The sequence below is a fragment of the Homo sapiens genome, chromosome 11 (assembly GCF_000001405.40).
Source record: "Homo sapiens chromosome 11, GRCh38.p14 Primary Assembly".
Lineage (NCBI taxonomy): Eukaryota > Metazoa > Chordata > Mammalia > Primates > Hominidae > Homo > Homo sapiens.
The window spans coordinates 58,125,826-58,146,925 of NC_000011.10; the positions used below are offsets into that span (position 1 = coordinate 58,125,826).

Consider the following 21,100-nt stretch of genomic DNA (forward strand, 5'->3'; position numbering starts at 1 on the left):
ACTGCAGACTCTGCTGGGAATGAACTTGGTTTTTCTTTGCCACTGGCTCACCATTCCCAAAGTTACTCAGTGGTAATATCAGGACTGGAACTCAGATCTTAGGACTCCTGGTAAAGTTCTCTTTACAACACACTCATCCTTAGTCCTGATGTCAAGTCCCATATCAGGGGCTGAAACCTGGCTGCATTGTCTGCTCAGAATTTCAAGGAAGAGTGATTATTGGCTCAGGAAGGTATGAGTCTGGTGTGGTCTAAACATACTTCATTCATGTCTATACTGAGGAGCTTGTCAGCTCACCTTCCTTAAAGATCTATTTCCAGGGTTTCCATGGTCAACTCTCTAACCACTCCAGCTCTTGTCTCTTCCCTCGTCTCTGAAACCCATGATCTCTTTGTTAGAACCACATAATTTGGCACTGAACTCCACTTGTCTTACAGTGTTCATAGTTATTCTTTAGTGAATAGTCTCATCTCCTCTGCTGGATTGTGGGTTCCTGGAGAACCTATCTTTCTTCCTACTAATAACTTGGTTCCTGATTCAGTAGAACCTCTCTGTGTCCTATAAGCTTTCATCAGCTTTTTATTGTAGGATCAGAACTTTTCCAGCAGAAGAAATCTCAAAGAGGCCATGTGCTCTGTTTGCTTCTAAGTAACATGGCTGGGATAAAAAACCTTTGAAAATTAGCAAGCATTCAGGCGAACTAGGGTGGTTTTCATAATTGCAGATGCCAGATGCCAGTTGATACAAGAATATATTACAAAGAAGGGTGGCAGCCACAGATCAGGACTCCTGGCAGTTAGCACAAGAAATTCTACCTTCCAATACATTTTTGGACAATATTTATTATTTCCTATAATTAAATATCTATTGAAATAACTGTGTGGTAAGAGTATATGTAGTGTATTCTAATACTTCCTGGAATGGTATAGAAGGTAGAGTGGTAATTGGGACAGGGTGAAGGAATATGCCAGTAATAAGAATATTCCATTCAACATCCCCTGGGGAACTTGTAGAATGGGGTGACTATACAGTAGATATTACCTTCCTTCCTTTTGACACATTGGGGGATCTAGAGTGCTTTGATGTATAACATAATCATTACTATTGTTATCTTTAATATTGTTATTGTTATTGTTAAGCATTTCACCAGAGTCTTGCTCTGTCGCCCAGGCTGGAGTGCAATGGCATGATCTTGGCTCACTGCAACTCCACTTCCCGGGTTCAAGCGATTCTCTCACCTCTGCCTCCCTAGTAGCTAGGACTACAGGCATGTGCCACCACGCCCAGCTTATTTTTGTAGTTTTAGTAGAGACGGAGTTTCACCATGTTGGCCAGGCTGGTCTTGAATTCCTGACCTCGAGTGATCTGCCCGCCTCGGCCTCCAGAAGTGCTGGGATTACAGGCATGAGCCACCGTGCCCGGCCTCACTCCAGAACTTCTGTTTGGACTTTTGGGAAGAGATGCATCTTAGGTTAGCTTCCTTAAAAAAAGACCCGGGACAGAATTTTGGGCAAGTGCCTCACTGAGGGAGTGCTTGAAGGAGAAACCTGTAAGGGAGTGAATGAAACAGGAAATAGCTAAGCAAAGATGTAGGATGTAGTTTCAGCTGGAGGCTAGCTTTGGCCTGATTCTTAGAGTAACTCTGGAATGTGAATTATGCCATGGGCCTAGTTCTGCCTCCAGACAAGGGATTTGGCTTTTTGCAGCCCACACCAACCATCCATTGACTGTGGGCTGCCTCCAAGTGGTGTGACTTCCCAGGCATTCTGGGAAAAGTGGATCCCTTAGCTAATGGCAATTCTCCAGAGAAGGAGAGCTGTGAGCTCTTAGCAGCCAATACTCATAGCAGCTGCAGGTGGGTGTACTGATCTGTTAACTGGGATACTTAAAGATGCTCTTTTTTCCTGATAGAATTTTGAGTGTTTATATCTGGGGCTTCTGATGCCACTGAATGAGTGAAAATAGCCCAGAGAGAAGTTAAGAGAGGAAGAAAGGAAGACTGAGGTCTAATGAAGTTTGGACTTTTGGAAAACCCCAATGTCCAAGACTGCAGCCTGAGGATATTTGAATTTCTGAAGCAAGTCTTGCCTGGAGCTATCCAGATAAAGTGTTTTTGGTTACATCAACAAATTTCATTTTTTAATTTTTAAGTCAATTTTATTTGGCTTTCTACCATTTAAATTGAAAAAAATTTTTGACACTAACTCTGAAGTATTCATGGTTTTGTATGTTTGTATAGGCACTGGAATATCTAGAAGAATGTATACCAAACTGTCAAAATGAGCATCACTAGATATTATGAAAAGGGTATCACTTTCATAATCTTTGTGTAAGGATTTGTTAGAAAAATAATATATTAATAGAAAAAATATTTCAATATTTATAGTAGAATAGTAGGGGCAAACAGGTGAAAACAGCCAAGAAAAACTAAAAAAAAAAAAAAAAGAACAGTAGGAAGAGAGCAATTAACCTGCCTGATATAAAAGCTTACTATAAAGCTTTAATAATTAAAGCAATCTTTTTCAGATGTAAGAATTGGTAGATACATCAGTAGGACAAATGGCAAAGCTGAGAAACAAATCCAAGTATCCACGAGGAATTAGTATATAATAAAGGTGGTATTTTGCATTAGTGGAGAAAGAAATATTTATGGAATCATTGATAATGAAATGACTGGTTACGTATTTGAGAAGTTTGAACAGTATCTCACAGCTTATATCAAAACAAATGTCAGATCTATCGCGTTATAAAGAAAATATAAGTGAATCTTTGTCACTTTGTCATCACTCAGAGTGGGAAATTTACTTAACATTAAAAAAAAATTTTTGTGGAAGTGCCCATCAACAAGATGAATGGATAAAGAAAATGTGGAAATGTACTTTTTTAAACCTAAAAATACAGAAAGTTAGCATAAAGGCATATGTATGTGTCTACATAAAATGTTAAAAATTCCATATGTCAAAACATCGCATAAAAATAAAAAAGCAAATATAATACTAAAGTTTATGTGTCTGTAAAAATGTTAAAAATTTCATATGTCAAAACATCACATAAAAAAGGCAAATCAAATACTAAAAAGGTATTTATGACATACATGGAAAGCATGTCCTGTTAGATTTACTTCATACCATCTTAAATTCACTCGTTTCTTTTCATTTCCCACTATTCAGGTATTTTAGCTAGGTTATCCTTGGTTATGCTGCACTGTTAAATAACATAAAAATCTCAGTGCTTTAAAACAGCACAGATTTATTTCTTGCTCCAGGTACATATCTCTTACAGGTTTGCTTATCAGAGTATCTCAGGAACCCAGGTGGATCCACCATCTCCACGGCCCATCCACCATCTCAACGGTGGTGGTTGCCACAACGTCCGATTAAACCAACCACAAAGGGCCAGGCAGAGCAATTCGTGTGTGTGTGTGTGTGTGTGTGTGTGTGTGTGTGTGTAAGTAGAACACTAGCACTACCTCTCCTGGTGTCCCTCATCTCTGGACACTCCCACAATAGCCCCCTAAATGTCTTCCTGCTTTTACTCTTGCCTCTCTATAATCCATTTTTCTCATAGAATCAAGAGAAATTGTTTAAAACCTACATCAGATTCTGTAAGTTCCCTATTAAAAACCTTCCATTGGCTTCCCATTGCACTTAGACTCAAACCTGATATTTTTACTGCGGCCTATATGATTATCTGTGATCTACCCCCAACCTCCCTCTGGTTTTGATCTCCTACTGGTCTTCTATCTGTTTCTTGAGACCCCAGCATATTCTGGCCTCAGAGCCTTTGGATTTACTGTTCCTTCTGCCTGAAATGCTACTCACTCGAGAAGGTGCGCTTGTGTCTTCTTTTCATGCAGGTCTCAGTGTAAATACCCCATCACCAAGACCTTTTCTGACCTCCAGAAGTTCCCTTTCTCTGTCGCTACTCCAAATAGTTTCTGTCACAGCACCCTTCTCTATTTCTTTATAACATGACTCTCTCTGTTGCTGCCTATTAGAATATAAGCTATAAGAGGGCAGGGCTTTTTTTTTCTGTTTTTTTCAAATTATTTTTTGCTTATTTTTTCCTGGTATATATAAATACAGGTGAGTTTATTTTATTTTTGTTTTACTTTAAGTTCTGGGATACATATGCAGAATGTGCAGGTTTGTTACATAGGTATACCTGTGCCATGGTGCTTTGCCATACCCATCAACCCATCATATAGGTTTTAAGCCCCGCATGCATTAGGTATTTGTCCTAATGCTCTTCCTCGAGTCTGCCTTGTTCACTGCTGCATCTGTAGGGCCTAGAACAGCTCTTGGTTTACACTAGGCACTCAATAAATATTTGTTAAACAATGAGAGGAGAGAGCCTTAATGTTTCTACAATTCAATCAGAAAAGTTAAACACTTCAATAGAAAAACTGGCAAAATATAAGAGTGCTGAGTTTACAAAGAAATAGAAATGGCTAAATATATGAAAAAATTTAACATAGTAGGCAGGAAAAATTACAAAAAAAATGTAGTCATGAGATACTTTTTGCCTACATAATCATCAAATATTTGAAAGAAAATTATAATATTCATTATTAACAGGAGTGATGGCAAACATTTCCCTTCCTACACTGGAGTGCTGGGGAGCATCTTGAAGTCAGTTGGCTAATTCACATGAAGGCCCTTAAAAATAAAAGTGCCCTTTTCCTGGCTGGGTGTGGTGGCTTGTGCCTGTAATCCCAGCACTTTGGGAAGCCGAGGTGGATGGATTGCTTGAGGCTAGGAGTTCGAGACCAGCCTGGCCTACATGGCGAAACCCCATTTCTACTAAAAAATTACCAAAAAGTAAAACAGAAAACACAAGAAGAAAAATTAGCCAGGTGTGGTGGTACATGCCTGCTATGTTGGGAGGTTAAGTGGGAGAATAGCTTGAACCCAGGAGGTTGCAGTGAACTGAGATCACGCCACTGCACCCCAGCCCAGGTGACAGAGTAAGACTGTCTCAAAAAAAAAAAAATGCCCTTTTCCCCCATTGTTCTGTTTCTAGGAAATTACTCCTAGGGTAAAATCATTAATGTCTATAATCATTAATGTCTATAATAGGACATAATTATTAATGTCTATAAAGGATGTAATTATTAATATCTATAAAAATCTATAATCATGGTACTGTTATTTCATAATAAAAAATTGAAAATACCAAAGTGACCCAAATTACTTTGGTGCGGTAGGATATTTTGGATGTGAGGAGCCTGGAGTTTGAATGCTATAAACATCTCCCTGTGCACACATGTGCTTTTGGCTCTTAAATGCTGCAGGGCTAGAGCTCAGAAGGACCACTGATCTACATAGCAACCTGGGGAATTTCCCCTGAGTTAGGGGATTCAAACTCAGACCTCCACAAAGGTTCAGGGATGTAAATTATTCTCAGCTGGCCTGGGTGGGGAGCTGGCCTGTGTGGAAACCACCGTAAAGGACTGAAGGGTCTTCCTGGTGGACAGGACTGTGTCATCAGTGGTGGCTGTTAGTGTTAGACACAGCAAAATAGCAGGATGAGGAATATACATTTTTTGGGATATAAATTTTCTCCATCACATGTAAGGATAAGAAATATATATATCTTTATTAATAAGTCTTCTAAATTAAATGTGTCATAATTGCCTATCTGTTAAGATTAGAAGGATGTATATCACAGTGTCTTATATAATATTTATAACATTATATAACAATGTTTTATATAATTTTATAAATATAAAAGATTTTTTCGTTTGTGGAGGTTTCTCCTTTACCTAAGAGTTTTGAGCATTCTGACTACCCTTGAGTTTGTTCAACAGCATGTGGTATGTTAGAAGGAAATCTCACCAGCGTTACGGCAAGATTGGGGGTTAGTTTTTTCTTTTCCTGTGGTCACCTAGACTTTCAGGGTATGGAGTCTCAGAATATGGTGTTCAATGCCCCCAACACTCACGAGCTGTCCAATGAGGAGTCTCAATACTTTTCAGGGTATTGGGGTGGCTTATAGGCCTCTCCCACTTGAGAAACTTTATAACAGTTATTTTTCTTCTTATTAACTCACCCCAAGGGAACAGTATAAAAAGGCAATATAAACTTTGATTTCAATTTAAAAAAATACCTAGAGTAGAAAATTCTGGAAGGATATTAATAGTATTAATAGTGGCAAAACTGCAATTACTTTTGCACCAACCGAATGCTAGGTCCAGTTCTGAGTGTTTTATATGTATCATCTTCTTCAACTTTCTGACTATCCCAGGAGGTGGGCATATAGAAGTGATATAACTCACTTAAATCCACAAGGTAGAGCAATCTACTTGCAGAGCTTATGTTTTAAATAACTCTGTTCTAGTGTATTTCCTCCAACTGTTAACAGTGCTTGTTGGAATGGTTCAATGGTTTAAATTTCTTCTTTTAGACTTTGACATTGTCCAAATTTTCTATATGAAATAATTTGTATTTACAATCAGCTAAATTACACTAGGCCACACAGGATAGTGGTTAAGAGTAAGGAGTCTGGAGCCAGCCTCCCCTAGTTCCAGTCTCAGCTCTTCTTCTTACTACCTGTGTGACCATGAGTGGTTACTTCACCTTTCTGAGCCTCGGTTTCCTCAGTTGAGGCATAGAATAAAAATAGTATCTACCCTATAGGATTGTTGTAAAGACTCAATGAGTTAAACAGAGATAGAAAAAATATGATGTGCCAGACATTGCTCTGGGTACTTTATCTATAGTTAATTAAATATTAGCTGAATAAATGAGTGAGCAGATTGCTGGGACCTCACACAGTCACATTTCACTCAGGCTCTGTAAATGAGGTTGGTCAGAAAGGGTCACCTTGGGTTGATGACAACTCCTCAAAGAGCAGAACACAGAGGTATCTCCCTCATCCCCAGGGTGAGGTTGGATTATGGAGGAGGCCGCCAGACAAGATGAAGGTTGAGTGAGGAGAGATTGAGAAAGCAAACTTTGCAGAGGCCCTTTTCTGAAGATTTCTTTCCTCTGGGCATTGGAGAAGCCTAATTAGAAGCTTAGGGCTGATTAGAAACCCCAGTCAGTGGCAAATCCCTTTGCTCCAGTCTTCTAATTGCCTTCCTGGAGTGAAGGATCCAGTCTAGGATAGGGCAGAGCTCCAGCTCCTATTAATCCAGCTCCCCTGGATGCCAGGCCTGTGAGTTACAGGTGCTGAAGATGTCTATTTATCTGGGCCTCCAAAGCCCCACTTAGACACCACATTCTACCTGCGCTCAGCCCAGCCTTCCAGACTGGGGAAGGACCTTTTGGTCCTGCTGAAGGTGAGCATGGCCATAGTAGATCAGAGAGAAAATGCACTACAGACCAGACTGGAAATGTACTTGATAATCTGAACTTCAGTTTCCTCTAACATAAAATGGGTTTTTCTCTTTGTTTCTTTTTGTTTTGTTTTGTTTTGTTTTTGGTATTTCAGAGAATTTAATAGAGGAGATTGGTTACAGAATGAAAACACTGGAGGAGCAGAAGGGATAGATGAGCTCATGCAGAGATTAGCTGCAGCAGGAGGGCTGAAGGCATAAGGGGAGATGGTGTAACCAGAGTCCAGGCTCTCTGTGCCACAGACAGGCTGCTGCTGGATCTTCTCCCACTCCCTCTGGCGCTCAGGGTGGGGTCAAAGCTACATGTGATTTTCTGGGAGCACAATGTGCTGGGACTTAATACTTTCGCTTCTCCCTTGCAATAATGCGAGGCACTTAGCATCTTTGTGTCTTGGTTTCCTTATCTATAACATGGAACTGATAATGCCTTGCATACCTACTCCACGTGATTGTTTTCAGAATCAGAAGACATAGAAAGGTGAGATCACATGGAAAAGTGGGGAGGCTATTTACATGTAATTAGTTACATTGAGAAAGTGGAAGAGCAAGCAGCAACTCTTATTGAATTTCTAAGAAACTTGTAAAATGCTGGCAGGTGTTGGGAATGATTCAGCATGACGCCATTGACGTTATAGAGAGAGCTAGAAGCAACAGGTAGGGTCTAAAATAGAACAATCTCCTTTGTGGATGAGTAATTTCCCCATTTTTGGAATTGTTCAGTTCTCATAGGTGTAATTGGTCAGAAGGGGTCACTGCTAGCTCCGAGATCAGCCATCAGTGATACCAGAGAGGATATTTCTGCTCTGGGTGGCAGTGAAGCCTCAGATTCCTGCAGTTCAGAGTCCATCAAGCTACTTTCTGTGAGTGCTTGACTGAGCTTAATTGAGATCTCTCATTTAGAAGCTGATTGGCTGAGAAGCTCTAAGGAGGTTAGGGATGAAAGGGCCCCAGCCAGAATTAAGGAGGCCTGATGTCCATGCTCATGCTTTGCAAGGCTTGTTCTACCTAGGAATTTCCATCACTGAGGCTCTTCTCCCTAATCCCCCTTGAAAGAAGAGAATTTCATCTGCTTCCATCAGTGTCTGAGAGGCAGAGAGCACTAGTAGCTCTGGTCATCAGAACAGCTGTGCTAAGACTCTGAAAGGAGGAGCATCCCAGATGGCAGAGACAGCGCCTCACCAGGCTGTAGGAGACCTAGGCTCTAGTCATCCCCAACCTTTCCCATTGGCTCTTTGTATGTGGACAATCCCTCCTCATCTCAGGGACTCTCTTACCTCATCTCTAGGATGGGGCTGATGCTACTTTATCTTCCTGAAGGCAGGTGAGTGGAACTGTGACCTGTGGACTCTAAGTTCCAAGAGTCTACTGCATAGTTAGTCTTGAGAGCAGATGGGTCAGAGTGAGAAGGCACTGGGGAAGGAGAAGTGTAAGAGATTTAGGGTCAGCACTTGAGCAGACTTTATATGCCCTTCTAGAATTTTATTACAGGATTGCAAAATGAGGAAGAACCTCAAGATTCCAACTTTTCGTGTCTTTCTCTGTGACCTCCTGTCTTCAGGCAGGGCATCCATATCCCTATGGCAACTTGGTAAGGGATTTTGTGGTATGGTGGAAAGGGTCTAGGTCCCAATTCTGGCTGCTTTTCTTCCTAGCCATATGACACTTGGACATGTCAATTGACCTTTCTGATTCTCACTTTCTTCATCTGAAAATGGGCTGTATGGAGAATAAATGAAATAATGGGTGCATAATGTTCTAAAATATGGGATTATGGAAGTAATTTGTAATTTTTTGGGAGAGGGAATTCACATCTTCCCTATGTGCAACAGAACCAACCTTTGTTGAACACTCAATATGTCACCTCATTTCATCCCCACAACACTCCTGTGAGTTAAGTGATGTCATACCCATCTTATATATGAAAGAATTGGAATCCAGGGAGTTTAAGCAACTGGCTGGGAATTGACCCTGCTGTGATAGAGCTTCAAAGCATTCGGGCTCCTTGAGACCATGCTGGTTCTGCCTTTCTGCTATTTTCAGTGCAAATGTATTGCCAGAAAATATTTCTCTTATGTCTTTGTGAGTTTTTATTCAACTAGAAAATGGCCAACTAAAGTTTTTTTCCAAACAAGATTTTGAGGGAAACAGACTGCTCTTCAACAGAGGCTCTATTTTCATCTCTCGCTTGAACTACTTATCTACCTGAACACAGACAGCATGTGGGTGGAAGGAGCTGCTCTAGTTTTTCACCATTTAAACATTCTGAGTCCACTGAAGTCCACCCTGACACATTGAATAGCAGCCAAGGCATCTTGTACCTCATTCCTTTTCCCTCTTTCTTCTTTAAGTCAGCACAAGCAGATGATACCAGTTTGATTTTAGTGGCAGAGAGAGAATCACTGTCATCCTTGCCTGTTTAGTTCTATATATTTGTCACTACATCCACAGTGTCCAGAATAGTGCCTGGCACAGAGCAAATAGGCAAAGACTTTATACATCTTTGTTGCATAATTCCAGCCAAGAACACTGGCTACATAACTTTGGGTGCACTGCACAACCTTTATGACTCCCCATTTTTAAATAACTTTAAACCTGACCTGGAGGTTCTAAGTGGATTAGTTTTTTGAGCTATATAAATATTCTTCAGATCCATGGCTATATATTTCCCACAGTGTGTACTATTATCAAGCTGATCTCTGAGCACTTACTGAAATCCCTTGCAAGTGAACACTTTTCACTTTTAGAATCATCTTCCCATGCACTTTCTTGTTCAATCCACAGTAGCCTTTGGGTTCTTAGCCCAGTGCTTTCGCTGCCTGAAGACGACAGATGGGGCCTATTAAATCCTGCTGGACTTTCTCTTTCCTGAAAATCCCATTAGTTTTCTGAGGTGTAGTAGAGATTTTGGGGAGCATTAATAATTTAAAAGAGCAGACAATCTTGACATCTTTCTCCCTTAGCTTTTGGATAACCTACCATGGTTATCATAGGTAACTAATGTGGGGGAAAGATAACCCAGAGTTACAGACATCCACCAGGGGAGGTCTGTCTGGAAGTGAAATGTTTCTGTGCCTGAACAACAATTAGATAACAGATTGCTGAGAATGTTAAATGCTAATATTGCTCAATACTGTGGAGCATGGTGGGTTCATGATGGCGTTAAGGATGCACTTTCTTCCTGTGCATCCTTAAAACCCAGCAGTTTCAAATATTTGTAGGTTTTCAAAACAGGAAACTGTTGCTTCAGTCTTCTATTCATTTTCCCAGCAACTCAGTTGATCTAAATTGCCTGGGACCAAATATTTTCCTCTGAGGCCAAACGGATTCATGGTTCCTCTCCCTGCCTGGAGATTTTGAGGAGATACTGTTTGTTTTCCCTAATCTTAATCACTAGGAAATTGACTGGCGGTTCTATTGAGAATTACAAATCATTCATAACCAGTCTACGAATTTAGGCGATGTATCACATGGCAAGGTGCAACTGTTCTTGGAGAGAACCAAACTTCTAGCTCCTCTGAAGATGAGCGACCATTGGGCAACCTTAGTCTTTAAAATATTCCTCTGCCCATTGCAAAATGGACAGAGTTGAAGCTTAGAAGGATCACATTAATGTGTACTGTGAGTTAGGAGACCCTCTCCCAATCCCCCTTCAGACTATTCACTGTCTCAAAAGGAAAGCCTAGGTCATTATTTTGGGATTTTGGTTTACAAAGACTTCAGGAGCTGGCTGTAGTAGCACAGACCTGGAGACCTCCCTAAGTGTTTTCATTTTCTCGCTTGAGCATCTGCCTTTTTCTGTCATCCATAGATCAGTCTGATTTAGGTTGAACCACAGTTTATGCACTGTCTTTCCAGAACCCATTTGGCAAAGTCCTCTGGCGGCACTGTTATTGGGCTAATGCAGAGAGGGCTGATGATTCCGATTATTCTGACATGTGGCAAATGGGCAATTTTATTTTGTATTTATTTATTCATCAATACCTCTTTCCAAAAGAGATTTAAAGTGGCTTATAAAAATGCATAACATGTAGCAAGATAAAATAAATTAAAAATGAGGAGTAAGATTTGGGCAAAGGGAAAGTACAGGTGGGCAGACAATAACGAGGAGCTGGAAGCAAGGTTTGTTTCACGTGACTTTTATCCTGCAACTTAAATCTGTGCTGGAGATGATGGCCCTCCGGGGGTGCAGGCTCCCTGTTATAGTTTGATTCTGATGAGACCCCTGAGCATCTCTTCTACCCTCCCATCCCTGCAGATAAGACATGAAGAATAAAAATGATGCTACAAAGAGGAGAACAGGGGCAGTGTTTCCAACTCAGAATTGGGGTCATTTGCCAAAAAATTTATTTAACTTATATTACTTTCCTCCTTGCCCAAGTGTAAGAGGATAATATATGTAAAGCCACTAGAAAAGTCCTGGGCATAGAAAGGTACTCACTGCAGGGCATTATTAATAACTTTCATCATTTTCATAATAATGAGCCATGAGACAGTGGCTGGGTACATGACCCTGGAGCCTGACAGACCACAGTTCAAATCCCTGCCTAGGAATTTACCTAAACCAAGTTTCTTAATCTCTGCAAGCTCCTGTTTCCCAGTCTATAAATAGGGATAGGAAAAATATGTCCTGTGTTGGGGTATTGTGAGAAGTAAATGAGGCAGTTTATATAAAATACCTAGAACAGTATTTATCATACAGTGAATACTCTCTTAATGTCAGTCATTAATATTCATAGATACTCTTTTCCTCTGTCATTAGACTTTTAAGAGCAGAAGAGAGACCATTGTGTTATAGAACAGGATGCATCATTTGAGGTCTGTTAGTGCTGTCTTTTTATATGAGGATGCACATCAAGAGATGGGAGATACTTGCTTTAGTGGCAGCACCCACACTTGAATCCAGGCCTCCAGGTGCTGTTTCCAGCCTTCGTATCACATGCTCTCTCTGGCTCATCACCGTCAACTGCCATCCCCCAATCATGTCACTCTCCCCATAGGAAAATGCTTCCTCCTCCTTTCCCAGAGCAGAGACCTAAAAGTGTCTCTTAGAGCAATTGTAGATGAAATGGGTCTCCTGATTTGTGCCTCCCCAGCTGGGGCTGCCTGAGGCTGGGCAGGAGCGTCGTACTTCCTGGGCCAAAGTGATGGCCACAGTGTAAGCTAATGTTAAGCACAGTGAATTTGGAGACGTTTATTGACTGTGGTCTTGGGAAAGTAGCTTACCCACTTTGAGTCTTATTTTAGTCAGCAAAAAAGTAGGAATAAATTAAATTTAGGAGCAACTTAAAAACCTAGTGTTTGAAAGATACTTTTTGTAATAATTTTGGATATGAATTGTTTACTCTGTATTAAAAGTACAAAAGTAACATCTGAATGTTACTAGGCACACAGCATGCTGTTTCCATTAATTTAAATTGTATTTTTTCTTCTCATAGCACAGCTGTGCTGTTATTATTCCTTTTACAATCATACGTGTATTTTTATTATTTTTAATTGACAAAACTTGTATATATTTATGCAGTACAATGTGATGCTTTCATAAATGTGTAAAATTTGGAATGATTGAACAAGCTAATTAACATATCTATCACCTCACTTAGCATTTTTTGTGGTGAGACATTTAAAATGTACTCTTAACAATTTTGAAATATACATTATTAATAACTATAGTCACCATGCTGTACCATAGATTTCAAGAACTTATTCCTCCTAAGTGAAAGTTTGTACCCTTTGACCATCATGTCCCCATTTCACCCCCCAACCTCTGTAATGTGTGGTATATTTTCTAAGACACAAGAAGGAACCAAAACAAATTGAATTTACAATAGAGTAAGCTAAAGAAAGAGGGGAGACAGAAAGACAAAGCAGGGGTGGGGCCCTGGGAAGATGGGAGGAGGAAGGAAGAAAGGAAGAGGGTAAAAGGAAAAAGGAGGAAATTCAACAGAAAATGAAAAGAAAATAGCAAATATTAACAAAATCAAATTCTGGCCCATCAGAAAGAATAAGGGGGCAAACCTCTAGCACAAATAAATGATATTGGATAAAAAGGAGGATAATCTTATATACAGGGTTTTTTCCCTTTCACTTTTATTTTAAGTTCAGGTGTTCATGTGCAGCTGTTTTTTTTTTTTATTATACTTTAAGTTTTAGGGTACATGTGCACAATGTGCAGGTTTGTTACATAGGTATACATGTGCCATGTTGGTGTGCTGCACCCATTAACTCATTATTTAACATTAGGTATATCTCCTAATGCTATCCCTCCCCGCTCCCCCCACCCCACAACAGTCCCCAGTGTGTGATGTTCCCCTTCCTGTGTCTATGTGTTCTCATTGTTCAATTCCCATCTATGAGTGAGAACATGTGGTGTTTGGTTTTTTGTCTTTGCGATAGTTTGCTGAGAATGATGGTTTCCAGCTTCATCCATGTCCCAACAAAGGACATGAACTCATCATTTTTTATGGCTGCATAGTATTCCATGGTGTATATGTGCCACATTTTCTTAATCCAGTCTATCATTGTTGGACATTTGGGTTGGTTCCAAGTCTTTGCTATTGTGAATAGTGCTGCAATAAACATACGTGTGCATGTGTCTTTATAGCAGCAAGTTTTATAATCCTTTGGGTATATACCCAGTAATGGGATGGCTGGGTCAAATGCTATTTCTAGTTCTAGATCCCTGAGGAATCGCCACACTGACTTCCACAATGGTTGAACTAGTTTACAGTCCCACCAACAGTGTAAAAGTGTTCCTATTTCTCCACATCCTCTCCAGCACCTGTTGTTTCCTGACTTTTTAATGATCGCCATTCTAACTTGTGTGAGATGGTATCTCATTGTGGTTTTGATTTTTGCATTTCTCTGATGGCCAATGATGATGAGCATTTTTTCATGTGTCTTTTGGCTGCATAAATGTCTTCTTTCGAGAAGTGTCTGTTCATATCCTTCACCCGCTTTTTGATGGGGTTGTTTGTTTTTTTCTTGTAAATTTGTTTGAGTTCATTGTAGATTCTGGATATTAGCCCTTTGTCAGTTGTGTAGATTGCAAAAATTTTCTCCCATTCTGTAGGTTGCCTGTTCACTCTGATGGTGGTTTCTTTTGCTGTGCAGAAGCTCTTTAGTTTAATTAGATCCCATTTGTCAATTTTGGCTTTTGTTGCCATTGCTTTTGGTGTTTCAGACATGAAGTCCTTGCCCATGCCTATGTCCTGAATGGTATTGCCTAGGTTTTCTTCTAGGGTTTTTATGGTTTTAGGTCTAACATGTAAGTCTTTAATTCATCTTGAATTAATTTTTGTATAAGGTGTAAGGAAGGAATCCAGTTTCAGCTTTCTACATATGGCTAGCCAGTTTTCCCAGCACCATTTATTAAATAGGGAATCCTTTCCCCATTGCTTGTTTTTGTCAGGTTTGTCAAAGGTCAGATAGTTGTAGATATGCGGAATTATTTCTGAGGGCTCCGTTCTGTTCCATTGGTCTATATCTCTGTTTTGGTACCAGTACCATGCTGTGTTGGTTACTGTAGCCTTGTGGTATGGTTTGAAGTCAGGTAGCGTGATGCCTCCAGCTTTGTTCTTTTGGCTTAGGATTGACTTGGCAATGCGGGCTGTTTTTTGGTTCCATATGAACTTTAAAGTAGTTTTTTCCAATTCAGTGAAGAAAGTCATTGGTAGCTTGATGGGGATGGCATTGAATCTATAAATGACCTTGGGCAGTATGGCCATTTTCACGATACTGATTCTTCTTACCCATGAGCATGGAATGTTCTTCCATTTGTTTGTATCCTCTTTTATTTCATTGAGTAGTGGTTTGTAGTTCTCCTTGAAGAGGTCCTTCACATCCCTTGTAAGTTGGATTCCTAGGTATTTTATTCTCTTTGAAGCAATTGTGAATGGGAGTTCACTCATGATTTGGCTCTCTGTTTGTCTGTTATTGGTGTATAAGAACGCTTGTGATTTTTGCACATTGTTTTCTAGATATACAATCATGTCATCTGCAAACAGGGACAATTTGACTTCCTCTTTTCCTAATTGAATACCCTTTATTTCCTTCTCCTGCCTAATTGCCCTGGCCAGAACTTCCAACACTATGTTGAATAGGAGTGGTGAGAGAGGGCATCCCTGTCTTGTGCCAGTTTTCAAAGGAAATGCTTCCAGTTTTTGCCCATTCAGTATGATATTGGCTGTGGGTTTGTCATAGACAGCTCTTATTATTTTGACATATGTCCCATCAATACCTAATTTATTGAGAGGTTTTAGCATGAATGGTTGTTGAATTTTGTTAAAGGCCTTTTCTGCATCTATTGAGATAATCATATGGTTTTTGTCATTGGTTCTGTTTATATGCTGGATTACGTTTATTGATTTTCATATGTTGAACCAGCCTTGCATCCCAGGGATGAGGCCCACTTGATCATGGTGGATAAGCTTTTTGATGTGCTGCTGGATTCGGTTTGCCAGTGTTTTATTGAGGATTTTTGCATCAATGTTCGTCAGGGATGTGCAGCTGTTATTGTCAGTGTCTAGATGTTGACGCTGAGACTTGAGGTCAAGTAACTTGTACAAGGTCACACAAATAGAAATGCCTGAGTGTGAGTTTGGAACAAACTCTGTCTTCTGTGCCCATTTTCTTAGCCACTATATATATTTGTGGGATTCCAGCCTTACCTTTGTGCTGGGTGATCTTAGGTTGATTATTGAGCCTCTAGTATCTTAAGGACTTCTCTCTGTTATCAGAAGGCTAACACTTCTGAACAATGTTGCCTGGAACATGTCTCCCAAAGACCTGAAAACCTCCATATGTTTTGTAATCAGAGAAGGGTGGTCCATTGCTGGCAATTTATGTCTTTATTTTCTATTAGTTGTGGCCAAATGATGTATGCAAGTACATATGTACAGTTACCTGATTCCCAGAATTTCTGCTGAAATGTCACCTTTTCAGTGAGTCTTTTTGATGGTCTTAATATCCTTATCCTTACTTTGATACTTTTAATTCCTCATACTCTGCAGCATTTTTTTCACAGCACTTACCAACTTCCATCATGGTAGAAGAATATATTTCTTCTTTTTTGAACATATATATGCCAGGCTCCACGAGAATGAGCATGAAGGCAGGACCCTTTGTTTTGTTCCAAGCAACTAGAAAAGTGCCTGCTACATAGTAAGTTCTCAGTAGATTCTTATTAAATAAATAGATGAATATAGCCTCTTTTTCCCTTTGGCCAGGATGATTTACAGGAACTCCTTTTAAGAACATGGCGAATCATTGTTCTGGGAGAAGATCAGGGTAAGATTTGGCCTTAAGTATAGAAAAACAACCTAAATATTTACCCTATCAAGAATTCAGTGGGGGAAAAAACTCCCCCCAGTTGCTGAACATTATTCAAAAATTAGATCAGCTTTTGCCAAACATTGATCAAGGTTTTACTTTATTCTTTATCTAAAGTCCTATGAGATCTTTTTCAAATTCAGTTTTTGTTTCAAGGATGGAAAGAGGACAAGAAGAATCACCTCTGAAGTCCACATTCACTATGTTCATTACTCTAAATTATCAAGATTCAAAGGCACAGAGATAGTATTTTCCCAATACCTGGCGAGAACCCCATCTGTATTAGAATTCAAAACTCAGTGTGCTGGCTTTGTCTGTTAATGAGTTTTGCAGGCTAATTGTGGAATAGCTTGATTCATGTATCTCACTGATTGATAATGAAGTGGCATTAAAAAAACTAGGACAGATCCTTTGGAATAAGAGGAGAACTTGGAAACCAGGCCATGTTGCTTGGCAGGAACAGAGAGGAAGAGGCGACTTGGCAGGCAACAGGCTATAGAGGTCCTAACAGTGTTTGTTCTTTATGGCTCACTGTCTGGCATACAAATCCATTGTGCATATATGCACATCAGAAACAACCCTAAAGAAAGGTGGAGTTGATGTTGGAACTCCAGGTGGCTGTGGACTTAAGATTCCACAATGTATATGAACCTAAGAGCATGTCACTCATATTATCTCAGAATTTAGTAAAAATAATTCTAAGTGTGTGTCAGACCATGTGCAACATACTGTGTAAATTATGTCCTTTACAATAATATTATAACTTTGGCATTGTAATCCTCATTTAACCAAGAAGGAGGCTGAAATTCAGAAAGGTTAATTAAATTGCTCAAGGTCTGAAGGTATTCAAACCTACACCTTATTTCAAAGCCCATGTCTTTTATACTACACCACTAGGATTTCTTCAACAAAGTGCTTTTTTCCTCCACAGGAGGCTGATTAAGTTTTCTAATTTGGGACCTGTCAGAAGTTTTGGAAGTGCCTAAGGAAATGATGTCTAACCTAGGCTTTGCCTATTTACCAATTGTGAAATCTGGGTCACTTTACTTCTTTTGCCCTCATATTCTTCTGTCAAAAATAGGATTAACAATATGTGTTTCATGCAGGAACAGAAAACCAAACACTGCATGTCCTTACTTATAAGTGGGAGATGAACAATGAAAACACATGGACACAGGGAGGGAAACAACACATACTGGGGCCTGTTGGGGAAGGGCTGTAGGCGGGGGGGTGGCATTAGGAAAAAAAGCTAATGCTTGCTGGGCTTAATACCTAGGTGATGGGTTGATAGGTGCAGCAAACCACCATGACACACATTTACCTATGTAACAAGCTGGCACATCCTGCACATGTACCCCAGAACTTAACAAATAAAATAAAATAAAAATAAAAACAATATGTGCTTCGAAGGATTTCTGAAGGATCAAGTAAAATAAAGTTTGTGAAAATGTAAAGTGCTTTACAAATCTAAAAGATTATTATAATTAGTGAGCAGTGATCAAGTCAAGCCATTACTGCCTTAATTTATCTTTTATTTTATTTTATTATTATTATACTTTAAGTTTTAGGGTACATGTGCACAATGTACAGGTTTGTTACATATGTATACATGTGCCATGTTGGTGTGCTGCAACCATTAACTCGTCATTTAACATTAGGTATATCTCCTAATGCTATCCCTCCCCCCTCCCCCCACCCCACAACAGTCCCCGGTGTGTGATGTTCCCCTTCCTGTGTCCATGTGTTCTCATTGTTCAATTCCCACCTATGAGTGAGAAAATGCAGTGTTTGGTTTTTTGTCCTTGCGATAGTTTGCTGAGAATGATGGTCTCCAGATTCATCCATGTCCCTACAAAGGACATGAACTTATCATGGATTAAGAAAATGTGGCACATATACTCCATGGAATACTATGCAGCCATAAAAATTTATCTTTAATGAGACTTTATTATTATTATTTTTTAATTTCAGTGGATAACGTTGGCTTCATGGCAGAGAGTGGCACCACGGTGACAGAATTTTTTCTGAGGGGGTTCCGGTTGAAGGCAGAGCTGCAGATAGGTCTCTTCTTTGTGTTTCTGGTCATTTTTCTCATCACCATGGGGGGCAACCTGGGCATGATTGTGCTAATTTAATTCAGACTGACCCTCGGCTCCAGACTCCCATGTACTTCTTCCTCAGTCATCTTTCCTTCCTGGACATTTGCTACTCTTCTGTTATTGGTCCTCAGTTGCTTGAGACTTTGGGACTGATAAGATGATCATCACCTATGAGCGCTGTGCCAGCCAATTCTTCTTTTTCACACTCTGTGCTAGCATTGAGTGTTTCCTTTTGGCTGTGATGGCTTATGACCGGTACGTGGCTGTGTGTAACCCCCTCCTCTATGCCATAGTCATGACACCAAAGACCCGCCTGGCGCTGCTGGCCGGGGCATATTCTGGTGCCATAGTCAATTCTGTGATCTGCACTGGCTGCACCTTCTCTATCTCCTTCTCTAAGTCCAACCATGTAGACTTCTTTTTCTGTGACCTCCCACCCCTGCTGAAGCTTGCCTGTAGTGAAACCAGGCCACGGGAATGGGTAATCTACCTCTCAGCTTTTCTGGTCATCACAACCAGCATTTCAGTGATTCTTACATCGTACTTGTTCATCATTCAGTCTGTTCTGAAGATTCGTACAGCAGGTGGAAAGCCAAGACCTTCTCCACCTGTGCTTCTCACATGACTGCATTGACTCTCTTCTTTGGAACACTCATATTCATATACCTGAAAGGCAACATGGGCGAATCCCTTGAGGAAGACAAGATCGTGTCAATATTTTACACTGTGGTCATCCCCATGCTAAATCCAATGATCTACAGCCTGAGAAACAAAGACATGAAAGAGGCTCTGAAGAAAGTTTTCAACAGGATAAGGGTTTCCCAAGCAGAGTAACTCTTGAGCCCCATCAAGCCAGAAGTTTCTGCAAATCCTGCTCTGGGCTTTTGTCTCGTCCTCTTAACACATGAGCCAGATCTCATAATTACAAAGACATATTGAGGCAGAAAAAGTTGGATTTGGGTTCCAGTACTTTCTTTATTGGCTTTATGATGTAGAGCCAGAAATGATCCACTTTAGTTTTCTCATCAGTAAAAATTTCTGCTTTGCTATGGGTAAAGGTCAAGAGATCTTAAGCCAGGATCAAGGGAGAGGGAATCCCAAAAGGCTTTGTAAATAATAACATGCTACAAAATATAGATTTTTTTTCTTATCTGTCCTGCGTATTGTGGAGCATTTTCTCAGCTATTCGGATTTTTTTCTATTAAGCTCATTTTTGTGCCTAGCATGATTACAAAACAGTAACTCATTGTTTATATAGTAAGGGGCAGTCACATTTTTGGTTGTGGATCATAGTGTGGATATCAGCTTTGATGAAAGAAAACTTTTCTTAACATTCAGTCATACCCAATTTAGGATTTGTCATAGAAAATAAAAGCAACTAAACAGAAGAAGAAAAAATAAAGAAGGGAAAGGAGGTGTGTTAGCCTGCTTCCCAAGATGGCATAGAGGTCTCAGACACTGTGGAAAAAAGAAGGATGTAATGATTTGCATTAATTATTGGAAACAATTTGATCTTGATGTAGGGCTGAAGTGAGTCCCATATATAACTTTGTAATATTTCTCGATCACCAAAGGTCAGAAGCTCTATTTTATTTCTGAAGCATTGTTCATGGACCATCTGCCTCAATTAACTCAAGTTATTTCCTATTCTTCAGTAATGAAAACCATTATCTACTTTTATCTCCTTTAGGACATTTACTCTATTGTCAGAAGACAGATAACAATGAATCTGACTGCCACTTTTTAATGACTTCCTCATCTGCTAGAAATATTACCTGGGAAATATCTCCATGGAGACCTCACAATTTTATTCATCAATTCAGCAAATATATGCTATCTACTATGTATCAAATATTAAGTTTAGAATATTTTAAGTATGTATTATATCTACTATGTATCAAATATTAAGTTTAGAGTAATAAATAAGATAGATATGGTTCCTTCAGCATGGAGATTAGAACTTGGGATATAGATAATCAACCATTGCACAGTTAATTAATTAATTATTAATTTTTACAATTTTGCAAAGTGAAACAAAAGAAGCAGCACAGGGTGTTATTATGCTATATAATAGGGTTCCAGCCTAATTTGGTGTGGTCAGAAAAGGCTTCTGAGAGAAATTAACGTTTAAGCAGAGGCTTCAGGAATAAGTATGCCATAGTCATGGGTTGTGAAGACTCTTCTAGACAGAAAGAATTGCAAATGCAAAGGTCTGTGAAATGGGATGCCTTGAGGAACTGGGATTGGCTGTAGCATGAGGGAGCAGGGCTTAGTGTGAGATGCAACTGGCGAATTCCATAGAAACTGTCACAGAGCCTTGCAGATTTGCTTGGGG

The 21,100-nt window shown here is 39.7% G+C and overlaps 1 protein-coding gene and 1 pseudogene across 1 annotated transcript in view; both read left to right on the plus strand.

The window, feature by feature from the left end:
- OR9Q1 (olfactory receptor family 9 subfamily Q member 1) overlaps window positions 1–21,100 on the plus strand; it is a 157,736-nt gene that overhangs the window by 101,945 nt on the left and 34,691 nt on the right. The window lies entirely within an intron of this gene.
- On the plus strand, window positions 19,024–19,509 carry OR9I2P (olfactory receptor family 9 subfamily I member 2 pseudogene; annotated as a pseudogene).